Here is a 17,806-nt window from a genome sequence, read left to right as displayed (position 1 = left end):
TCACTGTTGGAGGACCTACTTACCAATATTAAAAATGGAAAGGCTAGAATGAACCCTTGAGTGTTTGTATCGGAAGCAGAGGTATAAACATGAACTAACTGGTTTTTAATAAGTATTCATACACAGATAGAGATAAATAAATTTTGTGTGTGTGTGTGTGTGTGTGTGTGTGTGTGTATTTCTTAGCTCTGTATGATCGGAGGGCAGAGAAGCAATGATATCCCTGTGACAGTGAGCACAACAAGCACCCAGATCGTGGTTTGTAAATGTCACCCTCACTGTAAGGAACCAGGGCTCCTTGGAGAAATATCTGGAGCATGAGTAGTATAGGATAAGCCTGGAACATCCTATTTGATAAAGAAGTACTCAAAAAATGATGGAGACTTGCCAAAAATATACCCAGAAGTTACCTTGAATGAGTGCCTCTAGCCAAATCTGGGACAATTTCAGCATCACACTAACACTAATTATCGTAAGAGCAAAACCCATTGAGTAAAACAGTAATCCATGAGTCTATACTTGTATTAATAAATTAATTAATTAATATCAAAATAAGAGAGAAGGGAAAGCTCATCCGTATGATGGAATACTAGCTAATACGTGTAGAAAGAATGATGGAACTGAAAAATCACCATTGGTCGCCATCATGGTGGTAGTTGACTGCAATGGAAGTTATCAATGGAGATGAAGACTAGGGTGGGTTGTGTTTGGTGAGTAGCAAGACCTGGGGGTAATCTCAGAACATATTTCCACAAATACAAATCAATTGCCAAAGGGAAAATGGTGACCTTTATAATGGAGAAAACCAGCAGATAAGGCTAACATCACAGTTGCTGAAGGAGTTGACACTGTGTGCTCTAGACACAATGAAGTATGAAAATCAAGCATCAGTCTGAGATTTTACTGCCATAAAAGCATGACCTGAATCCTGTCACGAGGACACATACAACAGACCCAGATTGAATTTATGTCAGAATATATGTCCTGTACTCTTTAAAAGGCCAAAAACCTGAAAGAGAGAAAAAGACTGAGGAACAGTTTTGACTGAATTAAATTGAAGGGAAATAGCAGAAAAATACAATGAGTAGTCCTAGATGGGATTCTGGACCAGAAAGAAAAACAGAGGCATTATTGAGTCAACTGGCAGCATCGAAAGGGGCATGTGAGTTGCACAGTTTGGGCCAATATCACTTTCCTGACTTGGATGGCTGCACGGTGATTAGGCAGGTAAGTGTCCTCATTTCGGGAAAACACTCGCTGGAGTATTTAGGAGAGGAATAATATGGGAAACTTGCTCTCAAAGCATTCAGACTGGTTATAATAGGTGACTGTTAGAGAGAGAGAGAGTGTGTGTGTATGTGTGTAAGAGAGAGAGAGAGAGTGTGTGTGTGTGTGTGAGAGAGAGAGAGAGAGAGAGAAACAGGAGGTTAACAGTTGAATCTGGGCAAGGGGGATAATTAAGGTGGTTTTATGCACCTTTTACACAACCTTTCTCTCTATTCAAAATTATTTCAATATAAGAGAAAAAATAGTTAATATCTGTTTTAAAAATTCAACTAAGATATCAACTCCTCTTAGGAAACTTCCTGCCCTCTCTGCCAACAGACTCCCTCACAACCTGATGCTCACCTACCTACTTGCCACAGTGTTTTGTGTTTTAATATGTATCTGCGACACTAATGTATTAGGAGTGCCTTAGAACAGTGGCAAACACGTAATAAATGCTCAATAACTGTTAGCTATTATTATGATTCTATCAAGCTGTGATAAAAAACAGAGATGTGGTTGGCCTAGTGAAGTTCAACCACAGTGCAGTCTCGAAACTTCTAGGATTTCATTACAGATTTTCAAGGGCCTTGGAGACTTAGGTGGCATGTATTTTCTAAGACTGTAAGGGAAATAACTGGAAGGATTTGTAAGGCCCAACCATGCATGTAAATGCAACATAAGAAGAGAGTTCTTGGCAGGGAAACTAAAGAACCAATGAGATACAGTACTGGGATCTAAGGCACTTGCTGGAGGACAGGATTCCGGGTCACTGAGTCAAGGGGAGCTTGCCTGCTGCATGTATTTTATCTACTGCTTTGTTAAATGATGTACTAACGAGGCTGTCTCATGGATAATGATTTTATATCAAAAACATCTGTTCTTTCTTTTTCATGCAGATTGAGCCTTTTTTTGTGAGTGTGGCACTTTATGACCTCAGAGACAGCAGGAAGATTTCTGCTGATTTTCATGTGGATCTAAACCATGCTGCTGTCAGACAGATGCTCTTGGGGGCTTCTGTGGCTTTGGAAAATGGCAACATCGACACCATCACTCCAAGACAATCAGAAGAACCTCACATCAAGGGACTTCCAGAGGAATGGCTAAAATTTCCAAAGCAGGTGGCACTTTGTTTACTTGTGATGAGATGGAAAATGCTTGTACCATTATTCTTACCAATAGATCATATAAGATGAGCAATTTCCTGAATAAAAATTCCCTTAAAGCTGTCCTTTTTTAAAAAAATGGAATTTTGTAAATGTCTACAATGTGGTTTCTTCCATGCTTATTAGCTGCTTTCTTTGTACACAGGCTGTATTTTCTGTAAGCAATCCACATTCTGAAATTGTTTTGGTGGCCAAAATCGAAAAAGTCTTGATGGGAAACATTGCAAGTGGTGCCGAACCTTATATTAAGAACCCAGACTCCAACAAGGTAATGTATAATCTTATAAATAACTTCACTTCCTTTTTTTTTTTTAATAGAGTCTCTCCCTGTCACCCAGGCTGGAGTGCAGTGGCACAATCGCAGCTCACTGCAACCTCTGTCTCCTGGGTTCAAGTGATTCTCTTGCCTCAGCCTCCCCAGTAGCTGGGATTAGAGGTGCATGCCACCACGCCCAGCTAATTTTTTGTATTTTATAGTAGAGATGGGGTTTCACCATGTTGACCAGGCTGGTCTCGAACTCCTGACTTCAAGTGATCGGCCTGCCTTGGACTCCCAAAGTGCTGGGATTACAGGCATGAGCCACCATGCCCAGCCAACTTCATTTGCTTTTAAGACAGAAAGCCACACTTTCTTGCTGAATTATCAAATTTGTATGTCTTGAAATACTCACTTATTGGTGAAATGAATATCCACCAGAAATTTTTTTAAGCTTATCTTTTTGCTTTACTTTCTTTTGACCCAGTAATTTCTGACCTCTGAGAATCTAATGGTAGAAATAAATTCAAATGTGGATAAAGCTTTCACCCCAAGGATCAGAGTATTAATAATAATGAAACCTTAGGAATATTCTGAGTAAAAGCAAGTGAATGAGACATCAGCAATGCTGATGATGAACAAAGTGAGATAAATAATTGTAAATCAAATTATAATACCACTTAAGTGAAAAAGAGGAAAGAGAATGCTGTGCTTTGAATGGTGGAACTACAGGTAATATGTTTCTACTTTCTTCTTTTCTATTAGATTTTCTTTAATAATCAAATATTACTGTTTAATAGAAAATGAATATTAAGGCCGGGCGCAGTGGCTCACGCCTGTAATCCCAGCACTTTGGGAGGTTGAGGCAGGCGATCACGAGGTCAAGAGATGGAGACCATCCTGGCTAACATGGTGAAACCCCGTCTCTACTAAAAATACAAAAAATTAGCCAGGCGTGGTGGCGGGCGCCTGTAGTCCCAGCTACTCGGGAGGCTGAGGCAGGAGAATGGCGTGAACCCGGGAGGCGGAGCTTGCAGTGAGCCAAGATCCTGCCACTGCACTCCAGCCTGGGCGGGCGACAGAGCGAGACTCCGTCTAAAAAAAAAAGAAAAGAAAAGAAATATTAAAAGTCTATATTTTCCATGCCAAAGAAATATACTGAGGAAATAACTTACAAGAATTGAATCTTAGCATGTATGACAATTTAGGAAGGAGTTTAACATATTTATGAGAGTCCCATAATTCAGTGTTTGGCAAACTATGGTGTGCAGGCCAAATCCAGCCTACCTTCTGTTTTGATAAATAAAGTTTTATTGAAACACAGTCACATTCATTTATGGATTGTCTATGGCCATTTCCCTGCTACAGAAACAGAGTTGAAAACTTGTGACAGAGACTATATGGCCCATGAAACCCATTGTGTTTACTATATGACTCTTTACAGAACCAGTCTCCTGCCCTCTGCCATAACAAATAAAAGGGGATATAGAATGGACTGTAAATGTAAATGTACTAATACTTTCCATTCAAGATTTTAAAATCTTTTAAGTCAAAAAAAGGAAAAAAGTTGATATTCCAAGACATGGATTATTTTCTACATTTGAAATTTCCAAACTAAGAAGAAAGAAAGAAAAACATTATACAATAGTTTGAACACATAGGACACCATTTGGCTCTTTATAAGGTAATAGGGGCTAGTAAGACACAGTTACGCTGAGTTTCAGTATAAAATAATATGAAAAAGTATTTAGTATTATTTTATATGTACAGTTTATAAAGTGCTATTCTAAACAATATTTGTATTTATTTTTTCTTTAGTATGCACAAAAGATACTAAAATCCAACAGACAATTCTGCAGCAAATTGGGAAAATACCGTATGCCTTTTGCTTGGGCAGTAAGGTATGTTGACAGTTGCAGCCAACAGACTAGAAATACATTTAATGGTGGCATTGGAAGCTTCAGTTTTGAACGTTTTTGTGTTGCCTATTATTTTTAATGTGTCTACACCTAGAAAATCCTAATATGGTCATCTTCATAAACATCTTGAGCTTCTCTGAGACATACATTTCACAAGACAGTTTAGCAATACAGTTTATAATAGAGGGCCGTGACACATGTACCCTGCATGCATGACCAGATATGCTATGGGTTCTTGGTAGATATCAAATCAATGTCATAAATTGTTTATTATGTATATTTGACTTAACAAACCTTTGACATTATGTCAGTCCTGAGAGTCTGGTGTGCCTAAAATTCAGATAGATGCACTGTAATTTCTTATGCAGCTGTTTGTTTTCATTTATGCGTAGAGCTCAGGTCTATATATGGACGTCCAAATGAAACCATCAAACCAATCATTTAAACTCATTTTGATTTTGATACTGTTTAGCCCAGCCAAATTTATCAGTACCAGTTGCCTCTGAAAGAAAGTCTGAGTTCTGTGGACATAGATGGACACATCATTCACTTGGATGCATGACCTCTTCATGAAGAACCATAATTGCTTTTCAGAACTGTTTAATCATCAATTATGATTGTCCTCATCAATCTCTTTACATCTTTATTAGTGTAAGAATTTCTTAAGTGAGGAAGAGCCTGGCATAGACTCATAAGGCTAAAAGGTCATCAATGTACACACTGAATGAACTAAGAAAGGTTAGAGCTACCAGCCGGGCATGGTAGCTCACGCCTGTAATCCCAGCACTTTGGGAGGCCAAGACAGGCGGATCCCGAGGTCAGGAGTTCGAGACCAGCTTGGCCAACATGGTGAAGCTCTGTCTCTACTAAAAATACAAAAATTAGCCAGGTGTGGTGGCAAATAAGACAGCCCATCAAGTATTCATTTGAACTTTGCTGACATTATCTCAATGTATCCAACTTTAGCATCCAGAAGGAAGAGAGAACCTGTTAATTATGCCATTTTTAAGTCTCACAGTTCCCAGTGATGTATATTCAGAGTAAACTCACCAATATTTGTCATAATTTTGAGGTTGTTATTTAAAGTTGGAGATGAGTAGGTGTAGGAAGGAGAAATGTGGAAGTTTGGGCAGCAGTAAATCAAGATAGATTCATGCAGTCTCCAGGAATTCGTTTGCCCTAAGGCAGCGTCATAGCAAGGGAGGGAGAGTCCAGGCCTGGGAGTCTAATAAACGTTGCAGATCAGGCCACTACTTACTGTGACTTGGAACAAGTTTCTTCTCCATGTCTCTGGGTCCCCAGCTATAAATTGAAGCTGACAATACCTGTGTTATGAGCAGTATGTGCAATCTCAAGTGCACAAGCATTTGGCGTAAAATAGATCATGAATAGTACTTTATCCTCCCTTTTCTATCTCTTTCTATAGGAACAACTAATGCCAGGACATTCTGCATGAAAAAGATGGTATTTAGATTTGCAGAACCCTTTATAATGAATTTGTTTTTATTTCTCATAAGCTTTAAGACAAAGGTTAACTAATTATAATTCACTGATTAAACATTTTTGGTATTGTTAAGCATTCTCAGTTCCCTCCAGAAAACCTACTGGGGCAAGTAGAGGCAAGATGTCTGTTGTGAAATATTCCAGTATAACAAAATTACAATAGTGCACACATTTTTCACTTTAAGGATCCAACATTGCTCTGAGGTTTTAGAAACAGGCATTTTAGAACCAGACAGAGCTGAGCTCAAAATATCCTAACTCTGGCCAGGCATGGTGGGGCATGCCTATAATCCCAATACTTTAGGAGGCCAAGGTCTCCTGGAGGTTCACTTAAGGTCAGGAATTCTAGACCAGCCTGGGCAACATAGTGAGACCCAATCTCTAAAAACAACTTTTAAAAAATTAACCAAGGGTGGTAGCATACACCTGTAGTCCTAGCTACTCAGGAGGCTGAGATGGGAGTATCAGAATCATCAGAGATGAGCCCAGAAGCTGGAAGTTGCAATGAACTATGATAGCACCACTGCACTCCAGCCTGGGCAACAGAGTGAGACCCTGTCTCTAAAAAAAAGAAAAAAAAAACGCTCTATCCTTTATTAGCCAAGTGAGCTTGGGCAAGTTACTTATAACCTGACTTTATCTATTTTTTTAATCTACAAAAGAGGAAAATAAGAATATCTAATTTACTGTTATAAGGATTAAGGAGCACAGATATGTACCCAATAAAAGATTGTTATTTTTAGAAATTATTTTTTCTAATATTATTATTACTAAAAGTCACTTGCAGAGATCATATCTATCTCACCAAGTCCCCTTTTCTGATAAATTTGGGGCAGTGAAGAACAATATAAAGGAGAGAAGTCAAAGAATTACCCATTATTGAAAGAACCTGAGAAGTTAGGAGAAGTGACAATCCTGCTTTGAAGTTGTCTAGTTAAATATGCTGGAAGAAAGACAGATGAAGTCTCTAGGGAGGCTGACAGTATTACTGACTATTGAAATTATTCCTTGGATAGGAAAGCTAATGAAACCACAAGCTTAGACCATATTAATGCCCAATTAGTGGTCTGGTTGTAGGTTAGGAAACACCACCAACCTGTGTATATACATATGTGATTTACTTCCACATAAATTTCTCACAACTGAGAAAAATAGTTAGCAGCACAATTCTAAAGATACCATGTCAGACCACTTGGATTACCTAACCACAAAAAAGTATAAAAGATCCAGCCAAAGATTTTAATTTCTCTTTCACAATGTGGAAACTGCTTCAAATAAATGTGCACAGCATCAGAGGAAGGCCGGTTGTTGCCCATGTCTTTACCAGCTTCCTGACATACTTCAATACCTAATTGATACCCTGATTCTGAGGCTACTGCTCCTTCCTGTTACGCTTTCTAGATTGCAGTTTGTTTCGCAGTGTAGATTTCAGTGTGCCCTAAGACATGTTGGCCCTTACAATCAACTGTCATTAGAAGAGTAGAACTGACAATTTAGATTATGACCATATTTTTACCCACATTTAATCATCCCACCCACTGCAGTATGCACAGATGCTCATCACTGTGAACAACATTTTTTTCTGAAATTAATTTGGTATTCTTATATTTGGCACCAGCTGCAGTACCATTTTACAGTGAAAAGGTTATCCTTGGGGGAGGAATAGAGAACACATACAGATGACTACACAGGGTATTTTATACTCATTGACTCGGGAGAAAATTGACCCTTCCAAATGTGTCAGGTTGTGAATGGATCTCTTTCCATGCATATCAGCCCCAGAATCCTAGGTGCCAGCATCCTTGCCAGGACTCTTTTGTGATTTCCTTGACTACCTCATTTGATATTCTAAGTGGACCAGCACTCAACACTGAATTTTTTTAATTAAGCAAAATTAAAATAAACATTTCATTCTCGTATCTCTACAATTATGGAAGGTGCACAGTGCAGCTGTCATTTAAGATTCCCATACTGACAACGTCTTTAACAAATGGTCATCCAACTTCTGTTTGACTCTTTCCAGGGACAAAAACCCAAGTACATCCCACAGTGCTTCCTTCTGTCTGTCTCTTTAGAGGTCTAATTATTAAATAATCTATTTTTCAAAATAATCTTCAGCTATCTGAAAACCACTTTTATGTGTTTTCTTCCATAGCCACACACACACAAAAAATATGTCTGCTTCATTCTGCACATCATGGTTATTCATGCTGTTTGTGAATGAATCTATCGGGGACACCTAAGGTTCTTTTCCTTTGGGCAAGAAAACGAAAAGCTTACACAAAGGGTTTTCGAATGGCTGGGCCATATTTCATGATTCCTACAATCATACCCCAAAGATCATGGTGCTGAGATCCTCACAATATACTGATCATTGCTCAACTGTAGCAGTTGGAACTAGGCACAGCGTTCCAGCCATCACAAAACCATCTATGTAAATGAATCAGTTCTTTTTTCTCCTGCCAGATATATATATATACACATTTTTTTGAGACGGAGTCTCGCTCTGTCACCAGGCTGAAGTGCAGTGGCACAATCTCGGCTCACTGCAACCTTCGCCCCCCAGGTTCAAGCGATTCTCCTGCCTCAGCCTAACTAGTTGGGATTACAGGTGCATGCCACCATGCCCGGCTAATTTTTGTATTTTTAGTAGAGACGGGGTTTCACCATGTTAACCAGGCTGGTCTGAGTCTCCTGACCTCGTGATCCCCCCACCTCAGCCTTCCAAAGTGCCGGGATTACAGGCGTGAGCCACCGCGCCCAGCCACCAGTTATATATTTATTGAGCAACCACATGTTGTATGGCACTGTGAGCAAAACTTCTCCCATGGTGCTGTACTCTTCATTCTCTTTATGAAAAGTGTCCAATGTAAGTGAGCAATTTCCATGACAGAGTTGTGGATAAGGGCAAATCGAGTTCCACAATTCACATCTATCAATAAATGGAAGTCACTAATTAAAAAGCTATTGTTCAAGCTCAGTTTAACTTCCTTTCATATTGGGAATTGTATCATGTTAGTTTCAACATGTGATGCACTGAAACAAACGCCCTTTATAATATTTAAATAAAAATAATATTCATGTTTAATATTTTTATTCTGTCTCCCCAACGTTATTTGCCTTTTTACCTTCCCTCATTCACTACTTAACAGAGAAAAAATGAGGAGGCAAGTTGAAGGAGTCTAAAAATATCATTCTGATAAAATCTTGGCCTATTTTCTTTTGGTGTTCTATTTAACACTAAAGCTATTTAATCTGATATCCATTTAAATGGCCATTTCAGCCTGTGCAATGAATTCTTCAGTTAACTTAAAGAGTGATAAAACATTACATTAAAAGAAGTAAGAATTCAATATTTCTCTAACACTGAAGTAAAAAAAAAAAATTCTATTTTTTTTTGACCACACATTGTGTAATGAGATATGAGGAATTTCATGTAAAACTGACATCTAAGCATGGTACCTATGTGAAGCAAGTATTGCCTGACATTACTATATTATTTGGACAAAAGCTATTTATGTGTTTCAACTAAGCCTAACTTTTCTTGGTTCCAATGAAACAGACCAAGGAAGGAAATAAGTGGCTCAGATTCATAGTGTTCTCTTTCTTTAAAACAACAGTCTGACTCAGGTGCCTTCCGTATTATCTTTGTCTCTGTCCTAAAAGTTAGGACATGGGCACATTTAGCTCCATGAAAATGTGTCAAGAGTATGGCCTTCCACACTCACATATACAACCTTCTCCCTGTTCCACCACTCGTAAATCCTAGTAGTGCCACCCAAATTGAAGTGACTCTGTCCTGCCCAGGTTTAAGGTGTCTTGGAAACATAATTTAAAAGAGTAACTTGTGTTCCTATTCTTCTCCACTTCCCTGATACTCCAAGGTTTTGATACAAGTTATTAAATGTGAGACATCATAAAAAATATAGTTGTAATATGGAATGTTATCACTTCGGATACAGAGTTAAAAATAATAAATTAAAGATAACAAAAATAAACTGTATAAATGAAGCATTTGTAAAAGTTTTTGGTCTTTTTATTTTATAAGTTCTTAGAGTTTCTCTGATTATAAATGAGAAGTTTAATTAATATAGTCACGTTAAAAACACAACTTTATAAACAATATCCAACTACCAACCTGAATAAATATTTTCTTTTAGATCAGTATTTAAGGACAACCAGGGAAATGTGGACAGAGACTCAAGATTTTCACCATTGTTTAGACAAGAAAGTAGCAAGATTTCAACTGAGGACCTAGTTAAACTAGTATCAGATTATAGAAGGTATGTTTTTTTTATACTCTCGAAATTAACATAAATCAGCCATGTTGATTTTTTATCACTTCATAAATACCTGAGGATCTCATTCTCGAACACCCAAACCTCCAGAAAGCAGATATTTTTCAGGTGACTTCACATATGCCCAAATAGCACCACAAAAGTAAAAATTGCTAGAATTATATGGAAGGACTGTGAAATGTTAAACTATGTCAGTTATTTACTGCTGTGTAACAAACCACCTCAAAACTTAATGGTTTAAAATAACAACACTGCTATAGTAATTGTACTCCTGAGTCCACAATTTGAGCACATCTGAGTGAGAAGAGCTTATCTCTTCCACACATGGCATGGGCTGAGAGAGATCAGCTGGGGTCAGAGGATCCACTTCAGAGACTCCCCTTTAAAGTAATCAAACATCCTGGCCAAAATCCATACCATAGGCTTCCTAAGGCCCGGCCTTTCCTCTTTACTTTTTGCCAGTATGCTGAAGCATGAAAGGCTGTAATGCTGAGCAGAGGAGAATAGGCAGAAGGTTCTGGGGTGATCTGTTATAAACATAAAAAAAAAACTCTTACAAAACCCATGTTATCAGTGAATAGCAAGGAAAATTATTACTGTCTAATTTAAGGGGGCACCCTAGAATACACAATGCAACGCTGACATTAAATTATTCATGTCAGCCTCACACTTTATGGCCTTTATTCTCAGTGATGTGCTGACAAATGTTTCACAAGCAACTCTTTAAGGAAACAACGGACTTCTACTGATGGCCAGTGTCTATGGTGTAAACTCTCCTACCATTGCTGATTCCAACCTATCAATGAGGCTTCACTGAACATAGGGTTAGGAAGAGATGTGCACCCTAATAGAGCATTTCCACCATACACTTAGAGATGTACAGATAATCTTACCATGTAGTAAAATAATCAGAAAGTGGTGAATTTTGAATACTTATTACCTTTGTGTTTAATATAATTTCTTTAATGGTAAGTTTATGTAACTTAATTTTTATTAACGGCTGTGTTTAGCTGTCAAGCAAAATTCCTAAAAATTGAACATTCAGCTCTCACAAGCTGAGAAGAGCTGACTCTGACCCATCACTGTAATTATCCCACCTTTCAAAGTAGATTTCCTGAGAAGGATAACACTTGCGACTGTTACCAGCAGCTTCCACTTTACTCTAAAGGAAGATTGGCGAGAGGTTTTAATAGAGAGAGAGTGGGAGGGAAATGCAAGGACTTGAGCCGGGGAGTGCATGTGAGTGGGAGACAGGTGGGGAAGGGGTGTCCGCATACACTATAGGAGTGGGAGAGAGCAGAAGAAACAGGGCTCAGGGAAGGGTCCCTGTCCTCCTTGTTTGTTGGTGAAGAGGAAGAATATGGACCATCCACTTAGCGATTGTAGCAAAGACCAAGCTTGCTCTCAAAACTTCTTAAAATTCATTATGAGAGTGTGTTACTTAAGCCAGTTTAAATACTATTAGCTTTTGTTAATAAAAACTCTATAATTTACTCTTGTACTTTTTTGATTTTTGTGTTATCTGAAGTAGAAGGAAATAAATTTAAAATTTTTCAGAAAATCTGTCACTTGACCCCTCCCTGATTTGTATTTTTATTTGCAATATCACATGTATTTTAGTTTGCAAAATTAAACTAGCTAAATAAAATCATTCACAAGATTATTTGGGAGTCTGCTGTTTACCCTTAACAAAGCTCAGAATTATAGATGACTGCTTTTTCCTTGAAAATTGGAATAATACTCTGTGTGTGTGTGTGTGTGTGTGTGTGTGTGTGTGTGTCCTTGCTCATGCACTCTTACAGGGCCGACAGAATAAGCAAAATGCAGACCATTCCTGGAAGCCTGGATATTGCTGTTGACAACGTTCCCTTGGAGCATCCAAGTATGATGATGATGTCATGGTTTGGTTGCAGAGTTTTGAATATTGAATATTTAGTGGGTTTGTTTTGGTTGGTTGGTTGGTTGGTTGGTTGGTTGGTTGGTTGGTTGGCTAGTTGGTTGGTTACAAGGTTTTGGGTTTTTTTTTTCCCAAAAGTTGAAATATATGGAATTCATGATGCTACAGAAATGTGGAGCTTCTTTTTGCTTCACTAAGACAGATGATGAGTTTTGTAGGGCAAGAACTATATTCAGGGTAACCTAACACTTACTTACCTGGTATGCACCATGCACCTAACAAGGTATTAAATTATGTCATTTAATCCTCAAAACCCCGGAGGGTTTCAGAGGAGGAAAGTCAGATTTGGATAGATTAACAAACCAATAATCCATAATGGGACAATATATTCTCCCATTGAGGGAGTTCCTCTCACTCAAAATAGAGGCTAGTTCTGCCATATTGTGCTGCCAGAGGGTTACTCTGAACACTGCGTAGCCACTCAAGTGGCCATGCAATGATTATAACTGAAATGTTGTCAGACTCTGTTATTATACAGAGAACATATATTTTTTTCAGAATATGGTCAAAAGTATTGTCATTAAAATCTCAATTTTAGAAGGAGTTTTTTAAACTTTATTTATAAAAGAGTTTCAGAATTTAATTTTTAAGTGGTAAAATTGGTTTGTTTGGTTATTTCTGATTCTACCCTTTAGTGACTTTTTCAGCAATGTGAAAAAAAAAAAAGAATAAAGGCCTCCTATAATGAACTCTAAACAGGGAAAGGACTATTGCCATGGGATATTTGGATTGCCACTGCAGTATTAAGTTTTCCATCCTTGTAACTTTCTACAAGTCATTTTAATATGAAATGTAATGAGCATTCTAACTTAAGCCATGGTTCAAAATCATTTTTATATTGATTGGTGTGAAAAAGCAGAGGATAAACCAAGTCATTTCCTCTACCTGATATGGAAATGAAACACGACAAATGAGGCACTCAATATTCTCTTTGGAAGAATGGTAGAATCTTAGAGAAATTTGAACATATAATAAAAATATCATAATTGGTTTTTGAAAAAAGAAAACAGTAATCTGATTCTCAAGCATTCGTAGCTAATCATTTTGCTTTTTAGAACACAGTCAGATTCCAGGTGGGGTAAAGGGAGGTAGAAGGCCTTGGTCTTTCAGTACCACAACTTCAGGCTTCAAACTGTTTGGTGACAGAAGTTTTGATTTATAAATTCCTAATCACTATTTCTTAAGCTGTTCCTCCAAGGGTAGGTTTTAAAAGGTGGTAGAAACTGAAGAGAAAAATAAATAAACCGTATCTACTGATGAAGAGAGGGGCTTCAGGCCCATGCTGTGAAATCCATTCTGTAGAGAGATATTTAGAGAGATATTGCTATTAATCTATCTGGTACTATCAGTAATAGATCTATTGGACAAAGCTTTTTTCAGTCATGTATCAGAATATGCATTATTTTTATAGTGTTATAGCAAAGATTGGTGGATTATTTCTTATAATATCTGGCTACTATGTTCAGAGGTTCATTAGTTAAAATTTATTTTTATGGAAAGCTTAATACAAAAAGAAAATAGTTATAAATCCGTCTAAAAGATTTACTGTTTTTTTCTGAGACATCAGTTTTAATATTAAATACGTAGCTTGTTAATCTGCCATGCCCACCTCCTACAAATTTTTCATGCTAGCGTAAGCTAATATCAATTGGTGTACAAGCCAGGAGTTTCTATCTTGAGTGGGTTCATTTTAAAACATGTTAACTATTGTTCACTTTAAAAGAACCATATTAAATGACAAACTCTTATTTTCTGATTTTTTAAGATTGTGTAACATCGTCCTTTATCCCTGTCAAGCCTTTCAACATGATGGCTCAAACAGAACCCACAGTGGAGGTGGAAGAATTTGTTTACGATTCAACAAAGTATTGTCGGCCTTACAGAGTATATAAAAATCAAATTTATATTTACCCCAAACACCTCAAGTATGATAGCCAGAAATGCTTCAACAAGGTATGATATAAGTTCCAGAGATATCATCTTTTCTTTTCACCGTATTTAGACCATATAAGATAGTTCCTGAATGTGCAAATACAAATTACTATGGGGCAACACTCTGTCATAGAAAACCGTTTGGAGAAGATGTTTAGTAAGAGGCACTGATGAGTTTTATCTTAGAAGTGTTTAAGGATGCAGTTTCGTAGCATATTAATAATCTTTTCTAAATCAGTCTTAAATAATTTTGTTCGACTATTTTTTTTAGTTTCTTAAGATATTCTAAAAATAGCATGCCTGCCCCCTTTCAATATGAGCTTTTTACTTCCCTTTTAAGTACACTCTCCAGATCCTTCTGTTATTTCAAAAGATTATGGATAATGTCACAAGAAAATGTTGGGTATTTTACATTTTTTGGATTAATTAGAAGCTACTTATTTTAGGCACTTGGGTTTTTTATGTTATTTGATAGGAAATTACAATTTCCATTTTTTCTCTCCGTAATTTCAGGCACGGAATATAACTGTGTGCATTGAATTCAAAAATTCAGATGAAGAAAGTGCCAAGCCCCTGAAGGTGAGCCAAGTCAGCAAAGGGACCCAGCATAAAGTGGGAAGGCAGGTGCAGGGATTCTTTCCACCATTGCAGGGCTTTTTATGTGAGTGTGGTTGAAAGAGCAGTAATTTAATACATTTGTTTTAGATCTGAAACATACCTGATTTAACAGTCCTCATTAACTAGATCTATTAGAAATTCCTCTCTCATAGCTCTTTTAGCTTTTCACGACTTGGGAAAAAAGGAAACCATTCTCATGTGAAATAAATGCCAAGACTCCCCTGTGGAAAATGTTGCCTTTTTCAAAGATTAGCCTGCCTCTCGATTCGGCGTGCTTGATTTAAAACAGAACACCCCAGCCGGCCCTCGTATGGTCTACGCAGAACTGCCGCATACTGGCCCAATAGCTAATGTGGGGGACCCGTGGGATGCTCACATTATGGAAGGTGCACGTGGCCAAGTGCCTGAGGAACTGGAAAAATGGCTCTGGGAAGTCAGTCCCGGTTGCTGATCACATGATTTAGTAAGATCCATAAAACTATGAGGTTTGTAGGAACTGTGGTGTTTCACTCTACAAAGCTGCAACGGGATGGCATTTTTTAGAGTTCATATTTGATATATAGTATGTGGTTTTTATTTTAGGGATTTCAAACAACATAAAGTAACCCATAAAAAATGAGGGGGAAATTATTTGTAGTGGGCCTGCTGCCAATCTTACCAGCTTCGGCAAATCAAAGGAATGAGGTAGTAGAGGACAAAACTAATTTCTAACTAACCCCCACCATTCTCTGTGGTAGTCTCTTAAAGCACTCTGCCTGGTACAAATTGAGTCCTCTAATTTGTAGCATTATTCAGAAGAACAATAATCAATTTGAGTGATTGAATTAATCAAGCAATTAATTCAGGTAAATATAAAAAAGAGTCTTTTTTTTTTTTTTTAAAAAAAAAAAGAAGGTCTTGAGCCACTGTCAGCATCCACTGGCACCCAACTCCAAAATAGTGTTAGCATCAGGAGAGAAAAATTCAAGTGAAATATAATTGTCAGGCAAACAGAGGCAATGATCAGATGGCAAGCACGTTTGGCCTGTAGAGCAGTGTTTTTGTGAGGAAAATTCTAGAAAAGAATAACAATCACATGTGCGTCCCTTGCTTCACTGCATTCTAAAATACCACACAGAGATACAGCAAAGCTAACTGTCAGACTCCAGAAGAGGGGTCCTGAGCTTTGGACAAAGGGGGCTTATAAGTTATAAGGAAGTGCCATATCACAGCCCTGGCCTGATTTGGGGCTGGACAGAATAGTAGCATGCTGTGGTGGAGATGGTAACCAGCCCTATCCTGGAAGCTGGCGTATCAGGAGCTGGGGTCCATCCAAGCCTTGTGGTTGCACAAGACCTTAACTCTAGACCAGAGCTGGTTCCATGGGGCCTGTATCACTCCATTCTCACACTGCTATAAAGATACTACCCGAGACTGGGTAATTTATAAAGAAAAGAGATTTAATAGACTCACAGTTTCTGCATGGCTGAGGAGGCCTCAGCAAACTTACAGTCATGGTGGAAGGGAAAGAGGCATGTCTTACATGGTGGCAGGTGAGAGAGAGAGAGCATGTGTGAGTGCAGGAAAAACTGCCATTTATAAAACTATCAGATTGCTTGAGAATTCATTCACTGTCATGAGAACAGCATGGGGGAAGCGGCCCCAGGATCCAGTCACTTCCTCTCCTTGGCATGTCGGGATTATAATTCAAGATGAGATTCGGGTGGGGAGAAAAGCCTGACCATATCAAGGCCTGTTCAGGAAGCCATTCTAAAGGAATCAGTCTTAAACAAGTTAGCCCTTATTCCATGTAAATCAAGAGTCAGATTGGTCCAGGTGATACCCATAGGCTAGGGGAGGTCCGCAAACACTGACCGTTGTCCCAGGTCATTGTCTGAGTCATTGTTATTTTCCTGGGGTTGGTAACTGAAGAGTTATGGCCTTTTATTTTCACTCAGGGATAATTTCAGACCCTCATAATTGTTCAATTCATAACTTCTTCAACAGTGTATTTGGGATCCCAGCCCCAGCCGGTGAATAGGCTCTTGACACTGTCATGAGAAGGATTTCAAGGATGACTCAGAAAATAGTGAAAGTACAGAGATTTACTGCAAAGCAAAAAGAACACACTCAGGAAAGAAGAGTGTGGGTGTACTCAAGAGAGATAGTCATCTGCAAAAAGGTTTAGGGCTTCTACCTTTATGGGTTTCTTTATATTCATGAAGATTTCTAAAGAAACTTTAGAACTGCCCAGGTACTGGGGGGAGTGTGATTTAGTATGTCAATGAGCATATAATGAGGTCCTAGGAGAAACCTAGGTCAAATCCAGCACCATGCTGGGTACAGTTGGTCTTAACCAGCTTGGCCCGCATCTCATTTTTTAGGGTCTTATTGGCCACTGACTTTTGCAGCTATTTCAACAGTATCCTTTTTGCTAGGCATGTGAAACCTCTGCCTGGAATTTTCTGTTCTCCTGTGGCCACCCTGTATTATTCCTGTCCCACAGGTATTTGGCCCTGGCGTATTAACTATATGATGAATGAAAGCCATCAAATTATCTTCAGCAGCTTTCATTGTATAATAAATGCAGGGTAGTAGGCCAAAGAAGTTCAAGGTTAATTAGATGCCAGCTTAGCCTGGCAAGTTATCACAAAGTTTGCCATTGTCCCAGGGTTGGTACTGAAGAGTTATGGACTTTTTTTTCACCCAGGGATAATTTCAGACACTCATAATTGTTCAACTCATAACTTTTCAAACAGTGTATTTATGGAAAACCTGGAGGGCCCCTCTTCACCTCAGCCGCCTACACAGCAGTTCTGCACCACTCTCAGAATCCGGATTTCTCAGATGAGGTAAGAGCTAGCCCTCCACTGCCCCCAGCGGTTCCTAAGAAAGGTGGGTAAATGTTCAGA

The 17,806-nt window shown here is 38.3% G+C and overlaps 1 protein-coding gene across 24 annotated transcripts in view; it reads left to right on the top strand.

Moving 5' to 3' along the window:
* DOCK10 (dedicator of cytokinesis 10) overlaps window positions 1-17,806 on the top strand; it is a 277,379-nt gene that overhangs the window by 175,216 nt on the left and 84,357 nt on the right. For 23 of the 24 annotated variants that reach the window (XM_047444930.1, XM_047444929.1, XM_047444922.1 and 20 more), the window contains exons 12-19: window positions 2,166-2,387; window positions 2,578-2,700; window positions 4,507-4,589; window positions 10,271-10,393; window positions 12,211-12,290; window positions 14,131-14,318; window positions 14,811-14,876; window positions 17,654-17,746. In XM_047444930.1, coding sequence (XP_047300886.1) covers window positions 2,166-2,387; window positions 2,578-2,700; window positions 4,507-4,589; window positions 10,271-10,393; window positions 12,211-12,290; window positions 14,131-14,318; window positions 14,811-14,876; window positions 17,654-17,746 — 978 coding nt within the window. Of the gene's footprint in view, window positions 1-2,165; window positions 2,388-2,577; window positions 2,701-4,506; window positions 4,590-10,270; window positions 10,394-12,210; window positions 12,291-14,130; window positions 14,319-14,810; window positions 14,877-17,653; window positions 17,747-17,806 lie in introns of those variants that run through there. The other variant, XM_047444936.1, reaches the window with a different exon arrangement.

Source organism: Homo sapiens, chromosome 2, assembly GCF_000001405.40.
Source record: "Homo sapiens chromosome 2, GRCh38.p14 Primary Assembly".
NCBI classification, from domain to species: Eukaryota; Metazoa; Chordata; class Mammalia; order Primates; family Hominidae; genus Homo; species Homo sapiens.
Note: the sequence above shows the minus strand (reverse complement) of the source record. Positions and strands in the feature narration are given on the sequence as shown.